General features: G+C 41.7%; 1 long non-coding RNA gene across 2 annotated transcripts, besides 4 other annotated features; it reads left to right on the top strand.

The window, feature by feature from the left end:
• Positions 1 to 6,637: 6,637 nt before the first annotated feature.
• On the top strand, positions 6,638 to 7,581 carry LOC105373908 (uncharacterized). Of its 2 annotated transcripts, XR_923954.2 has the most exons (4): positions 6,638 to 6,716; positions 6,855 to 6,911; positions 7,058 to 7,149; positions 7,414 to 7,581. It is a non-coding gene; the product is annotated as an uncharacterized LOC105373908 (long non-coding RNA). The 2 variants fall into 2 exon arrangements; XR_001739173.2 differs by lacking the exon at positions 6,855 to 6,911 and having other exon boundaries at positions 6,657 to 6,716.
• Positions 14,861 to 15,398: an enhancer, noted in NCBI's record as "NANOG-H3K27ac hESC enhancer chr2:225075685-225076222 (GRCh37/hg19 assembly coordinates)". NCBI's record gives its function as "activates a minimal SCP1, AML or CMV promoter by ChIP-STARR-seq in primed H9 embryonic stem cells {active_cell/tissue: H9 hESC(primed)}" and the evidence as "EXISTENCE:reporter gene assay evidence [ECO:0000049][PMID:30033119]".
• Positions 17,866 to 18,643: an enhancer, noted in NCBI's record as "H3K27ac hESC enhancer chr2:225078690-225079467 (GRCh37/hg19 assembly coordinates)". NCBI's record gives its function as "activates a minimal SCP1, AML or CMV promoter by ChIP-STARR-seq in naive H9 embryonic stem cells {active_cell/tissue: H9 hESC(naive)}" and the evidence as "EXISTENCE:reporter gene assay evidence [ECO:0000049][PMID:30033119]".
• Positions 18,644 to 19,420: an enhancer, noted in NCBI's record as "H3K27ac hESC enhancer chr2:225079468-225080244 (GRCh37/hg19 assembly coordinates)". NCBI's record gives its function as "activates a minimal SCP1, AML or CMV promoter by ChIP-STARR-seq in naive H9 embryonic stem cells {active_cell/tissue: H9 hESC(naive)}" and the evidence as "EXISTENCE:reporter gene assay evidence [ECO:0000049][PMID:30033119]".
• Positions 19,421 to 20,198: an enhancer, noted in NCBI's record as "NANOG-H3K27ac hESC enhancer chr2:225080245-225081022 (GRCh37/hg19 assembly coordinates)". NCBI's record gives its function as "activates a minimal SCP1, AML or CMV promoter by ChIP-STARR-seq in naive and primed H9 embryonic stem cells {active_cell/tissue: H9 hESC(naive and primed)}" and the evidence as "EXISTENCE:reporter gene assay evidence [ECO:0000049][PMID:30033119]".

Consider the following 23,567-nt stretch of genomic DNA (forward strand, 5'->3'; position numbering starts at 1 on the left):
TGTCTGTTCACAAGGGACCTTCAGAGCTCTGCTTCTTGGGGGAGAGCCCAGGAGATGCAGCAGCTGCAGACTCAGTATTCCCAGGGGGTCAAAGGTCAAAAGGTCAAGGGTGTCTTTCTGCAGGATACCCCAATCAACGAAGTCTAGCCAAAGAACTGTTTGCCTCCCAGTTCCTAAATTCAACTTCCTGCCCTAGGCTATGGGCACTGCCATTCTGAAGTTTCACTGTATTATGATTTGTAATATGAATAAACATGAGTTTTGATGTTGACTTGGGAGAAGGGCTCTCCTAGCTTAATGACCAGTGAGTGGTTTTGTGTTTGTTTTTTTTTTTTTTTTAATGTGCTGTTCAATCTCCAAAGGACCAATTGACTTGGAGAAACAGAATCCAAAAGTAGTTTGTTCTTTTACTGGGAACGTAAGTTCCCCATAAGCAGGACTCTTGTCATTTCCAGCCCTCTGTGTTGAATACACATAAATATGACACGAACAAATACCATATACTTCCCTCGTTGGGTCACTTTCAGCTCTTCCATCCAAATAACTGGACTCCAAAGTGGTACAAAACAATCATGAAAAGTGAATTTACTCACAGGAAAAAAAGTGAGCCATTTCTTGTCTGAATTATCATGTGGCCAGCAGGACCTCCAGAGAAGAGGCAGCACCGAAAAGGAAATATGGTACATGATATGGAGAAGGGCGGCTTCCAGGAAGAGCCATTTTCTTTGTAAGAGATGGAGTTCTGGCAGAGACAGGCATTCTGATCTTCATAAAGCCATGCCACAGAGTCATGGATTCTGAGACAAATACATGTTTACTAGTTGCCACCCCAGGGGTCATCTGTCAAAAGGCCAGATGAATCATCAAAAGCGTCAGATGAATTAATTGTGAAAAATAGAGTAGATAAAGTGAATCACACACAGAACTACTGAGTTGCAAAACTCTCAGTTTACTTAGAGAAGACCTTTCACTTATTCATTCACTGTTTTGTTTGTTTATTCAATGATAATTCATTGAGTACCTAAAATTGTGTTGAACCCTATGCTGGGGCTACAAGACAAATTAGGTAGACCGTTTCCATTTCTTCATATTTGCTCTTCCCAGCCATTTCAGATTTGTTTACATTATTGATGGATTCAAGGATAACATTAATAAATTTTCTAATTTATTCTAAGAGCAGCCAAGGTTAATTAAAGAAAAAAGTCATGAAAGAGAAAGAGGGAATCCTGGATGGCTGCTTGGCTCTTTAAACCTCAGTTTTCTTATCTGTGAAATATGGGGATCCATTACATGACATTACATAAAGTCTGTTCTGTTTTATAAACATACAGTGAAACCAACATTTTCTTAGAGATCTGATTGGACACTGATCCAGTCTTTACTGTTTTGTAATAAATTACCTTAAAACGTAGTGAGTTAAAACAACCTCCATTTTATTATATCTCATACCTTTTATCAATGGAGAATTCAGCCGAGACTTACAGGGGTGTATGGCCTATTCCACGTGGTGTCTAAGTTCACTGTGACATATTCAACTGACAGATGGGCTGGTCTGGAAGTACCGAGATAAAATCCCATGTTCAGAGGCTTGTTTGGGACGCCTGGGACACTGGGCTCAGCTGAACGGTCATTGTGGTATCTAGAGGTGGCTTTTCCAGCATGACAATCTCAGGGTAGCTGGAGTTCTTACACAGTAGGTAGCTCAGAGCTCCCAGAGTGTTCCAGGAGAATTAGGCAAGAGATGCAAGATTTCTTTTGAACTAGCCTTCAAATTCCCAGAACACCACTTCTGCCACATTCCATTGGTCAAACCAGCCCAGATTCAAGGGAAGGGGAGAAATAGACTCAACCTCACAATGGAAGAATTGCATGGGCCACAAGGAAGAAAGTCATTGATGGCAGCCAGCTTGGAGGTAAGCTACCATAGTCACCAGGAGCGTTTAAATGCTACAGTGCCTGAGCCCTGGCAATTAAAAATATAAGTCTCTCTGTGATCTTTGATTTCTCCTTCTCTTCCTATAAGCTAAATCATGGAAAGTTCGGTAAAATACCTCGTGATTACAAGTGATTCCTGAGCATGGATGGAATCTGATATGAAAATACTTAGATGCGCTTTACATTGATGAGAAAGATCTGGGAAAATTTTAAAAAGTGCAGAAGGCACGTAAGACATTAGGTCTCTTAGCGGTTGCATGGATCAGCTCACAGCCCCTTCTCTCCATTTTGAAACCTCTAGTGAAAGGGATTTCTCTCCTAGACCCTGTCCTTGTACTTCCCATGGTGTTTATCAGGTGTCTGAGGATACATGTCGCTTTTCAATCACAGATTTCCAAAAACCTGAAGCTTTGATTCCTCTGCTTCTCCCACAAGGCATTAACAGGTTCTCAATCACTCTCTGCTTAATACACACAATCACTGTGATGGGGTTCACAGGAGGCTGGGAATAACATAAAGAGTAGTTTGAGATCAACCCCTGCTTTCAGAAAAAGGTGATTTCATTATCTGTGTTGGCTAATGTTCAACAGCTCACCGATGCTCACTAATAGGCAATAAAAGTGAAAACATCCACTGGGGGTTTGATGTCTGGTCTATGTCTTGGTAAATTAAATAGTGCACACTTTGTGGCAAGAGGCAGAAAAGATTTGTACGCTAAGTTTTCACGAGGAGACAATCTTTTTACCCATGAACTCGCTGTCTCTGTACACGCACACTTTTGGTCCAGGCTTTTCCTTTGAAAGATAATCTTTGCACAGTGTTGTAAAATGTAAAATAGAGGTTCCTCTTCAAAGACTTTCCTCCCCCATCTAATTAGGAATAAATAATAACTTCTCTTAAAAGCAAAATTTATTCAAAGACCTGTGCTAACATTCTTAAATCTCTGCTAGCCATAATAAAGAAATCAATGTACTTTATGTCCTTAGCTCCCACAATTTAGCCTAAATATTTGCCCTGGCGTGCTTATACTGGTCCAAGCAAGCATTCGGTTATAGCCTGTTTCTCTTCCTTATTGAAAAGCGTTTTTATCTTTCTCAGCATTCCACAAGTTACTTCCTCCTTCCTTTGTTCTCCTCTACCTTTGCCTCTTTTAAAAAGTTCTAAGTTGCTAGCCAATCAGGATGAATACAGAATGTGAGGTCCCGTTCCAGCCAATGGAAACCGGACACAGCAGTAAGGTAGACCCGTCAGGTTATAAATGACCCTATCTCCTTTGCTCGCTGTACTCTCGTGGCAAAACTGCTGGTGAGTGTACACTTTCTGCAGGAAGTAAAAATGGCTTACTAAATAAATTAAGTTTATGTTCAAGTGCTATTTCTTTACAGCACCAGAGAATGAGCATTTCAAACAGTGTGGAAATTCTGCTCAACACAGATGGGGGCAGGGTAGTTGGTGGTTGAGAAAGATTAATCATTACCCTTATGGCAAGTTTAATTAGTAAGAAAATGGAGGAAAACTGAGAAAAAGGAAAGCCTCCTTATTTACATTGTACTAGAGAATCAATTTCAACGTCATAAAAAAAAGTAAGACATGAGTTACAGACCCAGAAAATGTAAGGGCTCCTTGTTTTTCCATAAAATGTGAATACCACATAAGCAAGAGCCTACTTTTATTGTGTCTTCTGATTCTAACTATACTCTTTCATTCTCTTTCCATCCTAAAAGAAATTTTTTAAAGATAATGCTTTCAGAACCCTCCTACAAGAAAGCACAACATTTCTTATGATTATATAATAACTGTATAATACATATAACTGAATAACAATGAATGTTCTCATTTTTTATTACTTATTTTCTACTTACTTTCATATTTCAAACCCTGGCTCAATATCTCACTTGCTGTGTGTCTTTGGGCAATTTACTTAGTGTCTCTCTACTCTGTGGTTCCCTCAACATTAATAATTATACATATCCATATGACAGTTTTGAAAATTAAATGAGCTAAAATAGGTTCAGAACAATGCCTGATACACAGTAGATGCTCAATATGTATAACATGAAATTAACAAACACCTTCGCAATATTTTCTCATTTAATCCTCAAAACAAGCCAAGCAACATTAGGGAAACAGGATCACATTAGGAGTTACAGGTCTATATTCTGCAGCCAGACTCTGCGTGTTCGAATCCTGGATCTTTGTCTCACTAGCTATATAATCTTGGCAAGTTACTAAATCTATCTGTGCCTTAGTTTCCTTATTTGCAAAATGAGAATAAGAAGAGTACTTATTTCACAAGTTAAATGTGATATTATACACAAAGCACTTAGAGAAATGCCTGGCACGTGGTAGGTGCCGCCATTTTATTTGCTGCTGTTGAATGGTAATGTCTTGTGTTGGCTTAGTGTGCGCAGATGTGTTACTGTATAGTAGGCCCCCATGCAGGGCTGGTTTCACCGGTCACCCCGGGACCCATGCTTAGACTCTTTTAACTTGTTTTCGTGTTCAATTGTCACTGTCTTGAAATCCTTAATAAGTATTTGAAGAAACAGGACAGCATTTTCATTTTGCACTGGGGGCCTGAAAATTATGTAGCCAGGCCTGCCCCTGGTTTTTGGAATTGATTCAAGAGCACAGTTGCTTATAGGCCACTCATGCTGACTCATGTGAGGTATGTGCATTTATTTTGGGGCATCCCCAAAGCTCAACATTTCTGCACATTGAGCTTTGCCCCTATTTGTCAGAGTAAAGGGGCTGGGGGCCAGCTGGGTTCTGTTCCGGGTTTGGTACTTTTCAGTTCCACGGGTGTAATGTGAGATGAAATTATCACAAAGTATGGAAAATCCACACTCACAGCTCACATTGTACTGAATTGGTAACGTATCAGAAACGTGTTTACTATTATGTGAGAGCCATTGTGTTAATACAAAAGAAATGCATAAAGAGTGTTATAAAATGTATCAGAACTTGGCCAGGCATGGTGGCTCACGCCTGTAATCCCAGCACTTTGGGAGGCCGAGGCAGGTGGATCACCTGAAGTCAGGAGTTCGAGACCAGCCTGGCCAACATGGTGAAACCCCATCTCTACTAACAATACAAAAATTAGCCGAGTGTGGTGGCGGGCACCTGTAATCCCAGCTACTTGGGAGACTGAGGAAGGAGAATCGCTTGAACCCGGGAGGCGGAGGTTGTGGTGAGCCAAGATTATACAATTGCACTCCAGCCTTGGCGACAAGAGCAAAACTCCATTTCATTGAAAAAAAAATGCATAAGAATTTCTTGTCATTATGTAGTTCTTCAATGAATGAATATTAAAGATCATATAATATTATTAGGCAGCAGATAGAGAATTTTTATGGTAATGGAGGTCATTATACTTAAAACAATTGGGAAACCCCATATTACACTGTAAGTTCCTGAACTGCCAGATCCATTTCAATTCACATTTGAGCCCTCTTATTTCCTTGTTCAAAACCTCGCACACAGCAAGCGTACAATTAGCATGTTTGCAGTGAGTGATATAAGCCTAATGGATTGATCAGATTTCCATCTTAATAGGTCAGATGTGGGAAATATATTAGGTTGAGCTAACAGAAATAACAAGGGACAGTGAATACAAAGGGGATCCTGGAAGACATGTGAGATGGAGAAGGGGAGAGCACAGACTGCTTAAGTTCTTGGAATCATAAGAACTGATGAGTCAAGATGAAGCAAGTACACAGTTGGAGGACAGCTTGACAGAACAGAAGTGGGTTTTCCATGGAAGTAGGCAGACACCACGCCAGTGTGTTCCAGAACGGCATGCCTTCTCACTCGAGTTACATTCATGTCACTCCCCTGTTCAGAATATTCCAGTGACTTCCCAGCCTGCAAAGCCCCCAATCCCTATCTGGTCTAATTACTTCCTACTCTCTCTCTCCCCACCTCCTTCTGTTCCAGCCACATTGTTCTTCAAGCTCCTCCTTAAACATGCCTTGTATATCCCTGGGTCATCAATGTTCCCTTTGCCGGGAACACTTTGCTATCATTTTCTTCATTCCTCACTTATTCAGGTCTTTTCTCCAAGGTCGTATCCTCAGAGTGAACTTCTCCAACCACCATGTGTAAGATAGACAGCACCCCAGTCATTCTCAAGCACTTTATCTTTTTAAAACATTGTATTATGTATTTATTTTTTCCATTGCCTATCAGTTTCATTTCTCATCAGAAAAACACATCTTTCTCTTTTGTTCACAGCAGTATCCATAGAGCTTAAAACATTTCCCAGCAGAGTCAATACTCAAATCAATATTTGTTGAATGGATAAGTGAATGAATGGGTAAATGATTTAAAAACCCATGTGCAAATGAAGAAAGCAGTCCATTAGAAGAAGAGCAATGTATCGTCTACTAGTTCTGCCTTGGGAGATGGTCTGCGGAAGTGTTGGGGATCTGACAGAGAATGAGATCACAAGGGGCTGGACTTGGATTTGGAATTTAAAGATTACATTGAGCCTGCAAACTTACAAACATCCTGTATACTACAAACTTGTTATGTCTTCTTCTTATACAGTTATAGTCAGTGCCAGTAGACTGAGAGTTTTGGCAAATCCACAGTGACTCGCCTATTCTCTGTGGTGGACACTGTTGCATGGAAGGAGCTCCCAGGATTCCCCAGGCGTGTTCTTCTGGTATGGTGGCTTCTGACTTGGCTTGGGTTACTGAGCCAACTTGATACCTTCGGTGCTCTGTCTGCTTTTTGCTGTTACCAAGGATAGTGGACTCCACCCGAGGAAGTTACAACAGGTAGGAGGAGGAGGGAGAATCATCCTGAAGAAAAGGATGAATTCGCTGTCTGAGAAAATATTACCCTAACCAAGCCCATGGAGTTCTAAGTATTTGTGTAGACTGTATGACTGTTCCAAACACTTCACTCTCTCCCAGGAACACATGATACATCTGTACTCTTTGCCATGTGACTGTATGACGCCTCCTAGTAAGGTAGGTGGGGAAAACCTTCCCGCCTCACTGACTTTCAGGTTGGCCATGTTACTTGCTTTGGCCAATGAAATGTTAGTGCAAATACCATGAACAGAACTTTCAGTGTGCTTGTTTTGTTTGGCTTGCCCTCTTGTACCATCTTCCAGGAGAGCTTCCTAGGGTGGCAGATACATGCAGCCAATTTAAGCCCAACCTGTAGGCAGAAGCAGAGCTACCCAGCTAATCTGCAGACATGCGGGTAAGAATCATAAATGTATGCTATTGTAAACCGCAGATATTGGAGTTGTGTTTTTATGCCATAAAAACTTGATTAAGACAGTTGTTGGAACATTTTCAGTGATATTTCTGATAATCGTGCCCTATATATCAAGCAAAGTTGCTATAGCTTAGTTATGTTGTGTTACACACCCATTTTGCCTAAATTCTACGTCAAACTATGAGAGTCAGATTTTTCACCTCTAGGATGGCTAGGGGGTAAGCTATCCTTCTTGTTCTGTTCCAGGGAACTTGTCTGCTTTAGAAATGCTGCCTGATGGACCAGCACCAAGGACGTTTCTTCAGAAGAAAAGCTGTCTCTTTCCCCTGTTCTCTTACATTCTTTTGCATAAGGCAGGTACTCGATAAATTGAACTGATTAGTTGCACTGCCCAATAAGGTAGTCATTATCACCTCTGGCTATTTAAATTTAAATTATTCACAATTAAACAAAATAAAAATTCAAGTTCTCAATAGCCACATGTGGCTAGAGGCCACCATATTAGACAGCACAGATGTGGACCATTTCCATCATCACAAAGTTCTGTTGGACAGTGGCTACGTCTAGATTCCAGAGGTTGGGTAATTTATTAATTCTGAAGGCTGGGAGAAGTAAATTCTTTGTGGTTTGATGATATGAGTGCTGCGACGATAGGATGGAGAGAGGAGAAAGGGAATAAAAGAAAAAAATGAGCTCTATAATCTCCTTTTACCTTTGGTTTAGACATAAATAATCTTTATGAAATACCACCTGGTGTGTTGGTTATACTCATTTTGCTGATTTTTCTAGAAACATTCTAGGGCATACAGTTCACCAGTCACATTTACTGATAAATGGGTATGTGTGTATGGTTCTTCCAGAGGGTATCTCAACAGAACAACCATATTTCAATTCATCTCCCAATGCAGGGAATGTGTCAAGGTTTGTAATCATAACCTCCAACACCTCCAAAACTAGAGACAAAAAGAACACAGAAAAAATGAGAAAATGTGTTCAGTGCTGAAACTAGCACTCCCAGCCCCAGGTCAGTTACAGCAGTGGCAGGCATTATGTTTGTCTCCACAAGATTCATCAAGCTATATGGGCAAAGACTCAGCAAGTAGAAGGCAACGGAGCATGGGCTAAGATCAGCAATTTATCTGAGGCCAAATACCACAAAACAAAGGGAGACTCATTATGTAAGCTAGCTACAGGTGTATTAGTTCCGTTTCAGAGACTTCCAACAGGTTTTCATATATTTCACATTTAACATCAGTATCAACCTTAATGTAAGAGACACTGCAATCATTTTTTATAGTACTTGGAAATGAAAATTCTCAGGAGGAACTTTTCAAAGGATTTTTCAGTTCCATTTTTCTTATAGGAAAAGTTTTATATCTAAGGTAATACAATCTGCTCTTAAAATAGACTGAAGTGTCTCTATTCCTTTCTGAACTTTTGGGTCATCTTTGGTCATTGATCCCAAAGAGTGGATTTCTAAGTACTTAGGTTTTCTTCACTAGCAACAGTCCCTGGACTCTGTCATCCCTAGTAGCTGTCTTACACAGTATCCAGCACTCTTCAGCTAACACTTTCCACCCTTCCAACCCATTTTGCCTAAATCTTATCAAACTGTGAAGGCCAGATTTTTCTAGACCTTCTAGAACTTCCACTGCAATGTATTTTGAGACTCATCAAGACCACCAATCCAAGGACCCCATAACTTTCTTATTATTTTGTCTTATTTTCTTAGTGTCTATTACACAGTCCATTATCACAACTACTATCTTATAAACACCCTTAGATTCCATGCCACTGTCTCTGATGTACCTTCCAGGGAAGACTCTGAACCTGATTTTGCCCAATTTTTGCTTCTTTTTACACTGCCAACTGAATGGCTGAGCTGGCCAACCTCTACTGTGCACTCAACATAGTCCAGAATTTATGCCACATTTCTACATTTTAAGATAATAATTTCAACCACCCCCATCTCTCCTCACATCAACCCTCCAGCCCCCTTAAATACCAGCAACAATGTTGCCCTATTCTTCATTAAGAAGGTAGAAACTGTTGAATGCTGCTGGACTGAACTATGTTCCTCCAAAATTGATATGTTGAATACCCTCACCCCCACCCCCAGGGTGACTATAGCTGGAGATGGGGCCCTTAGAAAGAAGTTAAGGTTACACGGGGTCATTAGGGTGGGGCCCTAAGTCAATGGGGCTGGTAGTCTTATAAGAAGAGGAAGAGACCCCAGAGTGTTCACTCTATCATGTGAGGACAAAGCAAGAAGGCAGCCATCTGCAACCCAAGGAGATAGCCCTCGCCAGATATCAATGCCACTGGCACCTTGGTTTGGACTTCCTGTCTCCACAACTGGGAGAAAATTAATTTCTCTTATTTAAGCTACCAAGTCTATAGTATTTTGTTACGGCAGCCCAAGCAGACTAGTACAGATGGAAACCATCACCTTCTCACCAACAAATCTACAAACCTCCACACACACCCATCTTCCTTTCCTTCTCACCTAGTGTAAGGGGAAGTCAATTTCATGACTGCTTCTCAAGAAGTCTTAAAGCTTCTCGAAGACTTTGTTCATTTGATCTATTCTTTTTGCTCTTATAAATTAATATCTACTTCTCTGCAGAATTATTTGCAATATCCTGCAAACATGCTTCAATATCTCCCATGTTAGAAAAAAAATTATGTCCTCATCTTTCTCATATTGCCACCACAGTTATTGATTTCCATTCCCAACTCAATCTCTTGAAAGAGATGACCACACATTGTTTTCATCTGCCCACCTCTCACTCACTTTTCCCCTACTGCAACTCATACTAATTGCTACATTTCCTTGATAAGTTCACTGTTGCAATTATCTAATGTTGCATATCAAAGCACGCTAACTTTGTGGCTTAAAACAATAACAGCTCACAAACCACTCATGGGACAGGGTTCAGTAGAACCATCTGGGTGGCTTAAGGCTGTAGACAAGAATCATCTAAAGGCTCTGCCATTTCCATGTCTGGCAGTAGAGGCTGAGGAGCTCAAAACACATCAGACTCCAACAGCGGAGGCTCTTCCAGCATCTTTCTATGGCTCTATGTGGTCTCCATGTGAAATCTCCAGTATGGCAGCTTCACTGTAGTCAGACTTTTTCCAAGTTATCTCTAGAATATGAAGGAGCATGCCCCAAAAGAGAAGTGCCAGTAACTATGTGTGTAAAAAATTAAACTAAAATTCAGCGGTGTAAAACTACCATTTCTTATGCTAACTAATTCTGTGGGTCAGGAATTCAAACAGGACAGAAGAGGGATGCCCCATCTCCTTGCCATGTCTGGGGCCTCCTCTGGAAGATTCAAAGACTGGGAACTGGAGTAGTTGAAGCTCACTGTAAGCCAAAACCTCAGTCGGAATATCCACACAAAGCCTCTCCATATGTCCCCACCCAAAAGTCATCTTGAATTGTAGTTTCCATAATCCCCACTTGTGTGAGGGAACTGATGGGAGGTAATTGAATCATGGGGATGGTTACCCTCATGCTGCTGTTCTCCTGATAGTGAGTGAGTTCTCATGAGATCTGATGGTTTTATAGGGGCTTTCTCCCTTTGTTTGGCACTTCTCTCTCCTGCTGCCATGTGAAGATTACCATGATGGTAAGTTTCATGAGGCCTCCCCAGCCATGTGGAACTGTGAGTCAACTAAACCTCTTTCCTTTATAAATCACCCAGCCTCGGGCAGTTCTTTGCAGCAGCATGAGAACGGACTAATACACCTGAGCTTCCTCAAGATGTGATGACCGGGTTTCAAGCATGAGCCCTGAGAAAGAAAGAAAGAGAGAGAGAGAGAGAGAGAGAGAGAGAGGATTGAGACCAACTCAGGCTAAGTCATTTTATAACCTAGCTTTGGAAGGCTGTACATCAAGGTTTTATCTTGGGGCTGCAGCCTTTATAGGGCTTAAATATTATATTTATCCTAATGAGTCCAAAATTTATTCCAGTTTCAGAGATTTACCCTAAGCTTTGATGTCTCCACTTACAACTGATAGGTTTTTCAAACTTATCAAACCTAAAAAAGGTAACTAGATTTCCCCTATCATCCTCTAGTCTTATATATTTCAGTAACTATCATGATCAAGCCAAAATCCTGAGAATTGTCTTTGTATTTTCCATTTCCCTCTGTTCCTTCCCTCCAATTCATCAGTAAACCTGGATTCTATCTACAAAATACACTTCAAATACATTCTCTTTATTTTTTTCATCATCACCTTATTCTGAGACACCAATATCTTTTTCCTGGATGACTAAGTTAGCCTCCTAACTTGTAGAAAGCATCAGGAACATGTTTGTGAACATCTAAGCTTTTAATACCCTTTGATCAGCCTTCCCTCAATATTATCTAAATAAAACACCCAGGACTGTGTTGGAGTGAAAGCTCCTTGTCTCTGAACACCACTGGCTTCCACCTTGCAATGCCTCTCTGTTGATAGGAGCCCAGAGAAATGGCTCCCTATTATGTTTGTCTCGATGGAATTATGTTGTACTATTAGTGAAAAAATATTCACCTTGCCTAGAAAAGCATGGTGAATGTAAAAAAGTATTACATCTTTTTCTCTGTTCACCTGACAACATTCTTCAAGATACACAGATCTTGTTAATTAGGTACATTTCTCTTGATTTAATAATTTATCAAAAATTGCTTACTGAATGCCTTTTGTATGCCAGGCCTTGTTCTCTAGTTGCTGGGGAAATGGGAAAACAAAACAGAGCTTCAAATAAGGAAAGGGCAGACAACAAAAATCAAATGTGAAACGTGTCAAGAGGCAATAAGAGCTGTGCAGAAAAATAAAGCAGAGAAAGGGAGGTGGAAAGTGACAGGACAGGCACAGGGTATGCACTGGTTTCCATCTGTTGGTGAGGAAATGCATCCTTTCAAGACGACGTTTGAGCAGAGAACTGGATGATGTAAAGGAGCAGCTATGTGGGTATCTCAGGACAAGTGTTCCAGGCAGAGGGAATAACAAGTCCAAGGGCCCTGAAGCTGATGTGTGCTTGGCATATTCAAGGAACCACAAGGAGGCCAATGCTGCTGGAGCAGTGTGAGCAAGGAGAGGTTGGTGAAGGATGAGGCTGGAGAGGTAGAGCAGGAGTACACTGAAGGTTCATTGAGCAGACTGTGTAATAAGGCTGAGAGTGTTTTAGTGGAAGTGGTGCTCTTGTTTTCTAACCTTTGGTGCATGCCAGAGGTAGAGAGGGTGTGTTATCAGCCACAAACAAACCTCCAGGGTAGTAGACATATGTGTGACATTGGTTTCCCTTATGAACCCCAACATCTATTCAATATATGCAAAGCACCAGATACAATACCTGGACATAGCAGTTTCGCAATAAATGACAACTGCTATTGTTTCTTATCAAGTTTGGGGTTGATTGGGAAGCCTAGGTTCAAGTCCCAAATCCAGCACTTACATCTTATCTGTGTGACCTCCAGCAAATCACCTAACTTCTCTGGTCCTCTCTGACTATGGTGTCAATAAATGGATTGATTGACAAAATACATGGCATAGCACAGTGCTTGGTACATATTCAGGGCTCAATAACTTTCTTATTGTTATCATCAGGGAGCTTCTAATCTCCTCCCTTTGTTGCAACAGCATGGAGATGAGAGATATCCTATAGACATAGTGGATATTTTTATGGGCATTTCTAGACCCTCTTCCCCACAGCTGTTTTCCTTGTTTTATTCATGTCTCTGTTCACTGGGCCACCGTCACTCTGTATTCCTTGTCCTGCTTTATTTGTCCTCCATCACAGTGATTGACGTAAAATCTGCTAGACATCTACTTTAGTACTGTCTGTCTCTTTCAACTAAAATATAAACTCCATGAGGGCAAAAGGAGCCTTTTCTTCTTTAGTTCATTGATGTAGCTCCAATGCATAGAATAGTGCCTGGAGGATAGTAAGCTCACGAGTAACATTTGTTCATTTGTTGAATAAATAAACAACAACAAAAAACAAATTTCAGGGGGGCTCTTCCATCAGCAAGAATGGGTAACACCCTAAGTCACATACCTTGGCCTAGGCATTTAGCACTCTGATTTTCCTAATACAGAGCAATGTTCCTTTACATCACTATCATGAACATTAGGGCACTGAACACGTTGGATTTCAAGCCTGACAATTTGGAGAGCTCTAGAGTTAGACCAATTTACTTACCAGAACAAGCAGCCAGCCCTATCTCTACACCAGCCTCATGTGGGCCATTGGGGCCTCACTCTGCCAACCACCCTGTGAGCTGAGAGCAGGTAGTGAGTGCTGTAAATTTCTTCCATTAGTGACTGCCAAACAGTCCTTTCCCCCACAGCATTGGCTTCTCACTTAAGTCACATATTTCTATTTGTAATTTCTCCAAAGGGTCATTTCAGATATTTCACTTCCTGAAATTATAGTGATTGTATATTTTAGGCTATTTGCAGCCCTGCCTTATCCACCAGAGACTGGGCGTAGAAAGATGGAAGAGACATAAGATTTCCTTTGGCTACATTTGGTCTAATCAGTATGAACTTCACAAAGAACCATCTCGCTCATTTCCCCAGAGCCAAGAGAGACTTATGGAAGCTGTTCTACAAAATAGCAATTGTATTTTATTTTTCATCACTGTATTTTCTTGGGGAAGTGTGGCCTGGGGTTATTTTTGCACTGGGTGGCAGGTTTGACTTCAATCTTCACACATGCTGCCTGGGGGTAGGGATTTATTCCGGCAAATAGCAAAGAGCAGGTCTCTAACAATTCTTGTAACAAAAACTTTCACATTGGAGCTGTAACGTTTTGGGTTCTTCTGGTTAACTTGAATACGTCTGTGTGACCCAGCTGGTCACCTTGTTTTTCCTCTAAGGTCCGTAAGTCAACCACTGAAACCACTGAGAGTCATCGATGGAAATTGCCAGTGTTTGCAAAATGTCTCTGAGAAAGAAATCTTACCTTTTAACTCTTCCTAAAGTAAAACGAATGAGCTTCATTCCGTTCCCACCTTGTCTGAGTATGAAAATTCAGCTTAGCAAAATGCTAACCCTCACCTTGGTGGGATCAGACACTTTGTGCCCCAGGAGGTATCACAGGAAAGCTGCTTTTGGGGGAGCTCTGGCTGGCAAAGCATGGAAGAGCATGCAGGACACTGCTCCCTTCTTCCAGGCAGGCAGGGTGTGAGGGATGAGATCAGCTTTCCTGACTAGAGATCTAATTTAAATAATGGCGGATTTATATAATAGCAGATTCATTTGCTGTCTCTAGATCAAGATTGCCAGAAACTGTAAGGGTAAGGTTTGCATTCATAATAAAGCTGGGGGCGGGGGTGGGGGTGGTGGTGGTTGTTTCCACTAAAAGAACTGTCACTCATCCTGGGACAGGAAACGTGGGCATCCCTTCGGAACTGAAATGGAGAGGGACTTCCTACACTCTTTATCCCAGGGCAAGAGGTCATGGGCGGGGTAGGAACAGTCCTGACTGGTAAGTGTGATCAGAGAAACCTCTGAGTGCACTGGGGATGTGCCCTGGGGACAATGGGGGTGTGTTGATTTCAAAAAGTTATGTAAGTAAAACACTACAATGCAGGCCCAGGCCCAAGGTGGTGGAAAGCAAGCCCAGGTGAGTGCAGCAATGAGGTGGTCTTCCTCCACCACCCTACCGCTACATGATCCAGGGAAGTCAGGAAGGGGTGGAGAGATGGGAGCCATCAATGAGTCCCTCCCATCTCTACTGGAAGTAAATCTTTCCCTTTCTTGATCCTCATAGTGGATGGTGGCCCAAGGGTAACAAATGTCCAGGATAATTCACTCAGATTAAGTTGACAGACAGGAAATGATAAAAAGAGATTAAATTAGCTGTAAAGTTGTGAGTGTGTGTATCTGTGTGACAGATAAGGTGGTCAAGACAGTGCTATGGGGTAGCTGAGAAGGTTGACTGTGCTGACACTCTGGAAAGATGAGTTCACCTTCAGAGAATCCCAGATATTCATGAGGTTCTTCCTAAATGGAAAGCATGCAGGACAAAATGCAGAAATGGCCTTAGTTCTCATAACAGATGCCTCCCCTAGGCTGAAACCCAGCCTGGTGCCCTGCAGCTGATACTGGATCTTTTATGTTGTTCTAAATTAAATTCAGAGCAATTCAGCCTCTGCCACAAGTACTATTATGTGGGCTTACTTTCACTAAATCTATGTTTATGGGAACATAAAATACATGTTGTTCCTATCATCAGATTTTATTATTGATGATGATCTCTGATTCGTGCCCATCAACTGCCCTTTTAATCACTGTCAGTCATTTAAAATAAGGTCCTTCCTCCACTCAACTGTATTTAGGGCTAATTAAGAGTAAATAACTATTCCCAGCAAGGAAGGCAGAATCCAAGCAAATCTTTGACAAATGCAGCCTTCCCTTTGGAGAAACATATTCTTGTCTGCTGCCAGTAAATATTTCCATACAACCAAAAGAAACTCTGTATTTTCCCCCTATAGAGAATGTCACGCTGCTTTAATACAAGTAGGGAAAAATAAGTACCATTGAAGGCCAGGAAGGAAAACACAAGAAGCATTTAATTAAGAAAAAATATGTAATTCTCCATCTCTTTCAGTGTATCCCAGCTCCATTTGCTTGCCGTCCTCAGCTGTATGAAGCAAATGAATGCAATCACAGGCTTTTAGCTCCCACTCAAGTCTGACATTTCCCCTAAATCTTCCCTCCTCCCTCCACTCCCACCCTCTCTGTGATGCAACACAATTCATTCATTATACTTTGAAGGTTACAGTCGATTGCTCCAAGACAAGAATGCAAAATGGATAGGACCAGACTTCCTGCATTTCAAAGGTTCATCTTGATTTCGGTTCCGCAGGCTCTCTGCAATGTATTACCCAAAAGACTGCTAAATTTTGCTTTGACTGGGCCTTTGAATTTCCTCCTTTCATTTAAAGATGAGAGTTGTGGTTACTTTGCGAATTATAGATTTTAATATTTCTTATATTTCCATTTTCCACTGGACTCTTACAGCTATTTTTGTGTATTTCTTCTAACTTTTAAAAGTTAAAATGTAATGTCTTCCCACCCAGGAGACGAAGAAGAAAGGAGTGCATTAAAAGACACATAAGCTCAGAAAAATTGGGCTGACTGAAGAAAAAAAAAGTACACTTTGAGCTATCCATATGGAAATATAAGAAATATTTCTTATATTTATCCCTATTTATGGAAATGTAAGAAAGCTCTATTATAAAATGTGGAGTTGGAACAAATTAACATAATGAAGAAACAAGCAAGGGTTTTTTTAAATGCAAACACGTTTAAATAAGAAATTTTATATGCATTCAACAGAGTGATTGGACATCAACAATGTAATGCTCTGTTCAGTCCTTCTTACTCATTTCTCCAACTAGTTTCTTTTTTTATTAAACTTTTAAGTTCACGAGTACATGTGCAGGTTTGTTATACAGGTAAACTGCATGTCAAGGGGGTTCGTTGTACAGATTATTTCATCACCCAGGTACTAAGCATAGTACCCATTATTTTCCCTGATCCTGTCCCTCCTCCCACCCTCTACCCTCAGGGAGGCCCCAGTGTCTATTGTTCCCCCCTTAGTGTCCATGTGTTCTCATAATTTAGTTCCCACTTGTGAGTGAGAACATGTAGTATTTCGTTTTCCATCCATGTGCTAGTTTGCTAAGGATAATGTCCTCCAGCTCCATCCATGTTTCTGCAAAGGACATGATCTCATTCTTTTTTTTATGGCTTCATAGTATTCCATGGTGTGTATACATCACATTTTCTTTATTCAATCTGTCATTGATGGGCATTTAGGTTGATTCCACGTCTTTACTATTGTGAATAATGCTGCAATGAACATACATATGCATGTGTGTTTATGATAGAACAATTTATATTTCTTTGGGTATATCCCCAGTAATGGGATCGCTGGGTTGAATAGTAGTTCTGTTTTTCCAGCTAAAGTTTCTTAACTCTTGTTTTTGTTGATTCTCCAAGGAGGCTAGAAACATTAATAATCTTTAGAATTATTTTTACTTGATTCACTTAAAAATCATAGGCAGATTCCAGCTTACTAAGTGCTAGTTGGCACCAATGTGCTAAGTTTTGCTGCATATTGATTATGGAATCCTGGTTCAATTATTCTTTCCACAACTCTTTGTTAAGAATGTATCATCTGTCAGGTAGAGCTCCAAATGCTGAGAATACGGAAGCAAAAGAAATGCGAAATGCAGACTTAGCCTGCAGAGCTTACATTCTGATAAGGAAGATATCCAATAACAAATGGGCACATCACATTTCACGAGTCATTTGTGCTATGAATAAAGGCATAGATCTTATCAGGTGAGGCCGGCTATTTTAGAGAAGGTCACTAGGAAAGGCCTTATCCAGTAGGTGACTTTTGAGCAAAGACTGTAATAGGCAAGGCAGAGAGTGGTAAGAGATAGGTTGGGGGGATGAGCATGACCAGCCTTGCAGACCATGGCAAAGATTTGGACCTTGAATTTGAGGGAGAATGAAAGGCTTGGCTCTTCGAAGTTGCATGATTTCATGAAGATTTCTCTGGCTATGTGGAGAATCAGCTCTTGGGTAAGATTGCCATGTAAAACTTAGGATGCTCAGTTAAATTTGAATTTCAGATGAACAACAAATAATTTTAGTATAAGCATGTCCCAAATATATCATGGGGCATACTTATACTAAAAACAATTTATTGTGAGGCCAGGACGCCTAAAATAAAATGCTGCAGTCACTAACCAACCTGAGAATAATCCTTGCATGGTTCGCTATTCTCTTGTTTTTCCAATCCGTTTTCTTCCCACTCTCCAGGTAAACTCTTCCAGCCTGATGCTCATGGATTTCTAGTGAAGGTAAGGCTGTGACTTTGGCCAATGACTTTTTCCCCATCTATCTCTCTCTCTTTTTTCTTTTTTTTTAGATGGAGTCTCCCTCTGTTGCCCAGGCTGGAGTGCAGTGGTGCGATCTCAGCTCACTGCAACCTCCACATCCCAGGTTCACGCAATTCTCCAGCCTCAGCCTCCTGAGTAGCTGGGACTACAGGTGTGTGCCACCATACCTGGCTAATTTTTGTATTTTTGGTAAAGACAGGGTTTCACCATGTTGGCCAGACTGGTCTCGAACTCCTGACCTTGAGTGGTCCGCCTGCTTCCCCAAAGTGCTGGAATTACAGGCGTGAGACACCACGCCCAGCCCCATCTATCTCTTTAACAAGCCCCTGTTTACTTCCTCTTTGCACAGTCTCTATCTAGGCTTCTGACTAGTGGCTCTGTCCTTCCTTCATGACATGCTAGCATCTCAGAGTATTGCGATTGTACTCCTATCCCCAAGGCAATGCTGCTGGAACTTTGTGAGGACACACACACACGCACAGACACACACAGAGAGAGAGAGAGGGAGACTGAAAGAGAAATTGGGCTGCTAGTCATTGTTTCCTAAGCACCCAGGACTAAGGACTAACCTGCTAAGTGTACTTGGGTACACTTAGTCAGACCATGACTCTCTCCCTGATCAGTATTAGCTATGAGAGCAAGATGATCCTCTACCCAATAGCAACATGCATTGATAAATCAGGTATCACAAACACTTGCAGACAATGAAGGCTCATTCTTGACACTACACGTCAAAGATGGAGAGCCAAGCAGTAGTTTTTAATGAGAAATGTGAGAGGCAATTTTCTGTTTCTTAGCATTTAAGAAAACCAGAAATTACAGACAGTTGAAGAACTAAAGCTGGTTTCCTAGTATAATGTATTAGTAGGCTCAGGCCACCGTAATGAATTCTCACAGATGGAGTGATTTAAACACCAAAAATTTGTTTTCTCAGTTCTGGAGGCTGAAGCCCAAGATCAAGGTGTGGGAAGGACTGGTTTCTTCTAAGGCCTGTCTCCCTGACTTGCAGATGTTTCTCTCTTTCCTCATGTGGTCTTTCCTCTTTGTGCACGCATCCCTGTTGGTCCCTGGTGTCCAAATTGCCTTTTCTTATAGGGACACCAGCCATATCAGATTAGGGCCTACCCTAATGGGATCATCTTAATAATCTCTTTAAAGACCCATTTCTAATACACAGGAGTCACACTCGGAGGCACTGGAGGCTAGGGCTTCAATACATGTATCTTGAAGGGACACAATTCAACTCATAACAAGTGAGGATACACTTATAATGACAGTTGGAGTCCCCAGCAGCTGAGGGACTGAAAAACCAAATTGGATTCCCGGAACAGCAGAATAACAGGGCTCTCTACTAGTGGTCAGGATGAGAAACAAATGAATGGAACACAGGGTCAGATACTCACCTGGGCCTAGCAGCCCTCCGGTCTCAAATGTGAAATATCTGTTTTCTCAGTGGATGAGCAGTCACCTGCTCTTTTCTCATGGGGAGTCAACTAGTCCATTTCCGTGTGATGAGACCACCAGACAGGCTTTGTGTGAGCAATAAAGCTTTTGAATCACCTGGGTGCAGGCAGGCTGAGTCTGAAAAGAGAGTCAGCGAAGGGAGATAGGGGCAGGGCTGTTTTATAAGATTTGGGTGGGTAGTGGAAGATTACAGTCAAAGGGGGTTGTTCTCTGGCTAGCAGGGGTGGGGGGTCACAAGGTGCTCAGTGGGGGAGCTTTTGAGCCAGGATGAGCCAGGAGAAGGAATTTCACAAGGTAATGTCATCAGTTAAGGCAGGGACTGGCCATTTTCACTTCTTTTGTGGTGGAATGTCATCAGTTAAGGCAGGAACAGACTATTTTCACTTCTTTTGTGATTCTTCAGTTACTTCAGGCCATCTGGATGTATACGTGCAGGTCACAGGGGATATGATGGCTTAGATTGGGCTCAGAGGCCTGACAGTCCATAAGGAATATAGAAAGATTAGGAAAGCGTGTATAACACATAATTCAAAATTTAATTCTAAAAACCCCCCGATCTGTAAAGTTTGACAATCATCAACCATAGACTATGTTAAAAGGGTTTGAAGTGGTTTTATGACATGGCAAGGGGCATAATAAGCCTTTTGATAATGGGAGAGTAGTAAGCACAGAAGAAAAATTTGGAAACCACTATCCAGACTAGTGATTTTAAAACTGTTCAAATGATATTAATCTGATGGCAGAGGAGAGCAAACCCTGGCTGAGATAAGAATGCCTCAGTCAGCTTGGGCTGCCACAGCAAAATACCATCAACTGGGTTGGTGCAGACATTTATTTCTCACTGTTATGGAGCTGGAAGTCCAAGATCAAGGTGCCTGGTCAGGTCCTGGTGATGGACCTCTTCCAGGTAGCAGTCAGCTGACTTCTTGCTGGTTCCTCCCATGCTGGAGAGATAGAAAGCTCCAGACTCTTCCTCTTCTTTATTTTATTTTATTTATTTATTATTATTATTTTTTATTTTAGACAGAGTCTTGTTCTATTGCCCAGGCTGAAGTGCAGTGGCATGATCTCAGCTCATTGCAACCTCTGTCTCCCAAGTTCAAGTGATTCTCCTGCCTCAGCCTCCCGAGTAGCTGGGATTACAGGCACACACCATCACGCCCAGCTAATTTTTGTATTTTTAGTAGAGACGGGGTTTCACCATCTTGGCCAGGCTAGTCTTGAACTCCTGACTTCAGGTGATCCACCCACCTCGGCCTCCCAAAGTGCTGGGATTACAGGTGTGAGCCACGGCACCCAGCCTCTTCCTCTTCTTACAAGGACACTAATCCCATTAAGGGGGCTTCCCCCTCATGACTTCATCTAAACCTAGGCACCTCCCCAAAGCCCCACCTCCAAATACCATCATATTGGCCGTTTGGGCTTCTATATGTGAATGTGAGGAAGGGAACACAAAATTTAGTTCATAATAAGAAGAGAGAATGGGTGATTGCGCCTTACCATAAAAATATTTTTAAGCTCTACATTTGGTTCTATAACAGTTTTTCTTTTTTAATTTTGATAAAAAACCTGTGTTACTTTTGTCCCTCAAATCCCTCAAGAAAGTTCATGCTCCAACAAGGGGCATCGTGTTTATCATGGAACCAAGACAGCTGGGTGGGAAGGGCTCCCTGTCAAAACTCCAACCAGCCTGTGCACTGGGAGGAATGAACAGTGGGATGGAGCCACAGAAGTCTGCACCATTTGCAGCAGGGAAGGGTCTGGCCCCTCCTCTTCCTGTGTGCAACCTGAGATTCAAACTACGAGGTGAGAATTGCACCAGCAGGGACTCCGGCTTTATGGAGGGTCCCTGTTTCCCTTTTTACCCAATAACACACTGCCTTACTCACCCTTCAAATTGTCTGCAAGCCTAAATTTTCGTAGCCCTGTGACAAGGACCCTGTATTTAGCTGAACTAAGGAAAAGTCCCACAACAGAACTTTGCCTGACCTCTGGCATCATCTTCTCAGCTCCCTGCTTATCTGTGCCTCAGCTGGAGAATCGACCTCAGAGGCTTATGTGTCCTCAAATAGCAAGGAGTAAGACCCTTCAGACAAAAAGTCTTACTCATAACCTCATTAAGCCTTGGCCATAGGACTTGCTCCAGGCATTCTATGAGTACATGAAGGTCTAGATTCTAGTGCAGACAAAGACTGAATTCCTCCTTTCTCATCCCAAGGCAGCTGCTCTACAAATCTCCCTGACTACCCCAGGAGCTCCCACCATTTCTTTGTTAGTTAACGTTATCAGTTGTCTGTGTACAATTAGGATGCATAACAAGCAACCACAAAACCTCTGTGGTATAAAACAATATACTTTTTAAAAAATTTTTTTTGCTTATGACTCTATGACTTGGCTGGACAGTTCTGCCGATCTTGGCTGGGCTTAGATAAGCAGTTCTTCTTCTCTTGGCTGGGAGTGACTCATAAGTCTGACCGTGCACTGGCTTTTACTTCACGTGGAAGGGTCTTGGCTGAGATAACTGGCTTTGCTCCACATGGTCTCTCATCCTCCAGCCAGCTAGGCCAGGCTTGTTCTCATGATGGAGAGAATAGAGAGCAGAGGTGTTACAAGCCCTCAGAAGGCCTGGTTCAGAGGCAAGGCCACCTTCTATTGACCAAAGTAAATCAAAAGTCCAACCCAGATTGAAGGAACAGGAAAACAGACTATACTCTTGATGGAAGAAGCAGCAAAATCACACTGCAAAGGGCACAGATTCAGGGATGGGTAGAGAACTGAGGTTGTTTTCTCAGTCAAAAGTAGGCACTCTGAGCTGCCTATTTTAGGAGCAAAATTCTATGCTCATTTTATCTTTTTCCATATTGGTTACTTATGAAGGCCAAGGAATCTCATTGGAACTCAGGATAGAGTATTGCTGTGGGAAGATTTTAAGCCCTCTTTGGACATGCACTTTAGCAACTTATACACAGTGGTTGGGAGGAGGAGGGGAAGTACAGATCTTCTCTAATAATGACTGCCTTGAAGTCTGGTGGTTGACTGCTGACGAATTTGCTCTGTTAGACTGAGCCGAATCCTGGATAGAAGTGAGATAGATTTGTGAGAAATTTATTAGAGTTGTGACAATTTGGCATCTGCTAGGGCAAAGATTTCAATCATGTGGAGAAAGAAAAGATTGTCAAAAATGTGGAGGAAAAAGATTATGTAAGTCAGTGATGCTTAGATATATAGTAGGAAAATACATCATATTTTGGAAGCTAGTTTAAGAAACTTCAGTAATTATGAGTCAGATTTATAGCTCATAAAATGTAGTTTTTTTCTGGAGATCACATCTCACAGTTAAAAGAGAATATACTAAAGAAGCTTATCCCTTCATTTTAAACTAGATGTCATTACCCTAGTCAGATGTTTACTTCTCTTTATCTGCAACTCAAGATTAACACTGGGGAAAGGAGAAGAAGGACTTCCACCGTTTTAGGAATAGGCATGCAAAGTAAATTTCAGAATCTAAAAGGAAGGGACACAGAGAACTATGTTGATTGGACGTAACATTTCATATGTGAGGCACTGTGACGGGCACATTATGTCATTTAATCTCCACCATAATATTGTGGGATAGGCACTACTAGTCCCTGATTTTACAGGTGAGGAAGCAGAGACTCAGAGAGGACAACTGGCTTGCCTCAATTCCTACCACAAGTGAGATCCGAAGACACGAATTCAGCTCTAATCTCCTGTTGTCCTTTTTTTTTTTTTCTGGCTGCAATTATTCCACTGTAACAGACCACTCCTGAGACAGCCAGGTGGGAAGGTGGTCCCTGGAAAAACTCCAACCAGCATGCGCACTGAGAAGGCGCACTGAGGTGGAGTCACAGAAGTTCCCGCCATTTGCAATGGGGAGGAGCCTGACTCCTCCTCTTCCTGTGTGGAACCTGGGATTCAAACTGCGAGACAGTCCTGCAATACTACCATCTTGGATAACCTCTTTCAAATCTTTGTAATTTGAAAATTTTAAAAGTTAT

This window comes from Homo sapiens, chromosome 2, assembly GCF_000001405.40.
Source record: "Homo sapiens chromosome 2, GRCh38.p14 Primary Assembly".
NCBI classification, from domain to species: Eukaryota; Metazoa; Chordata; class Mammalia; order Primates; family Hominidae; genus Homo; species Homo sapiens.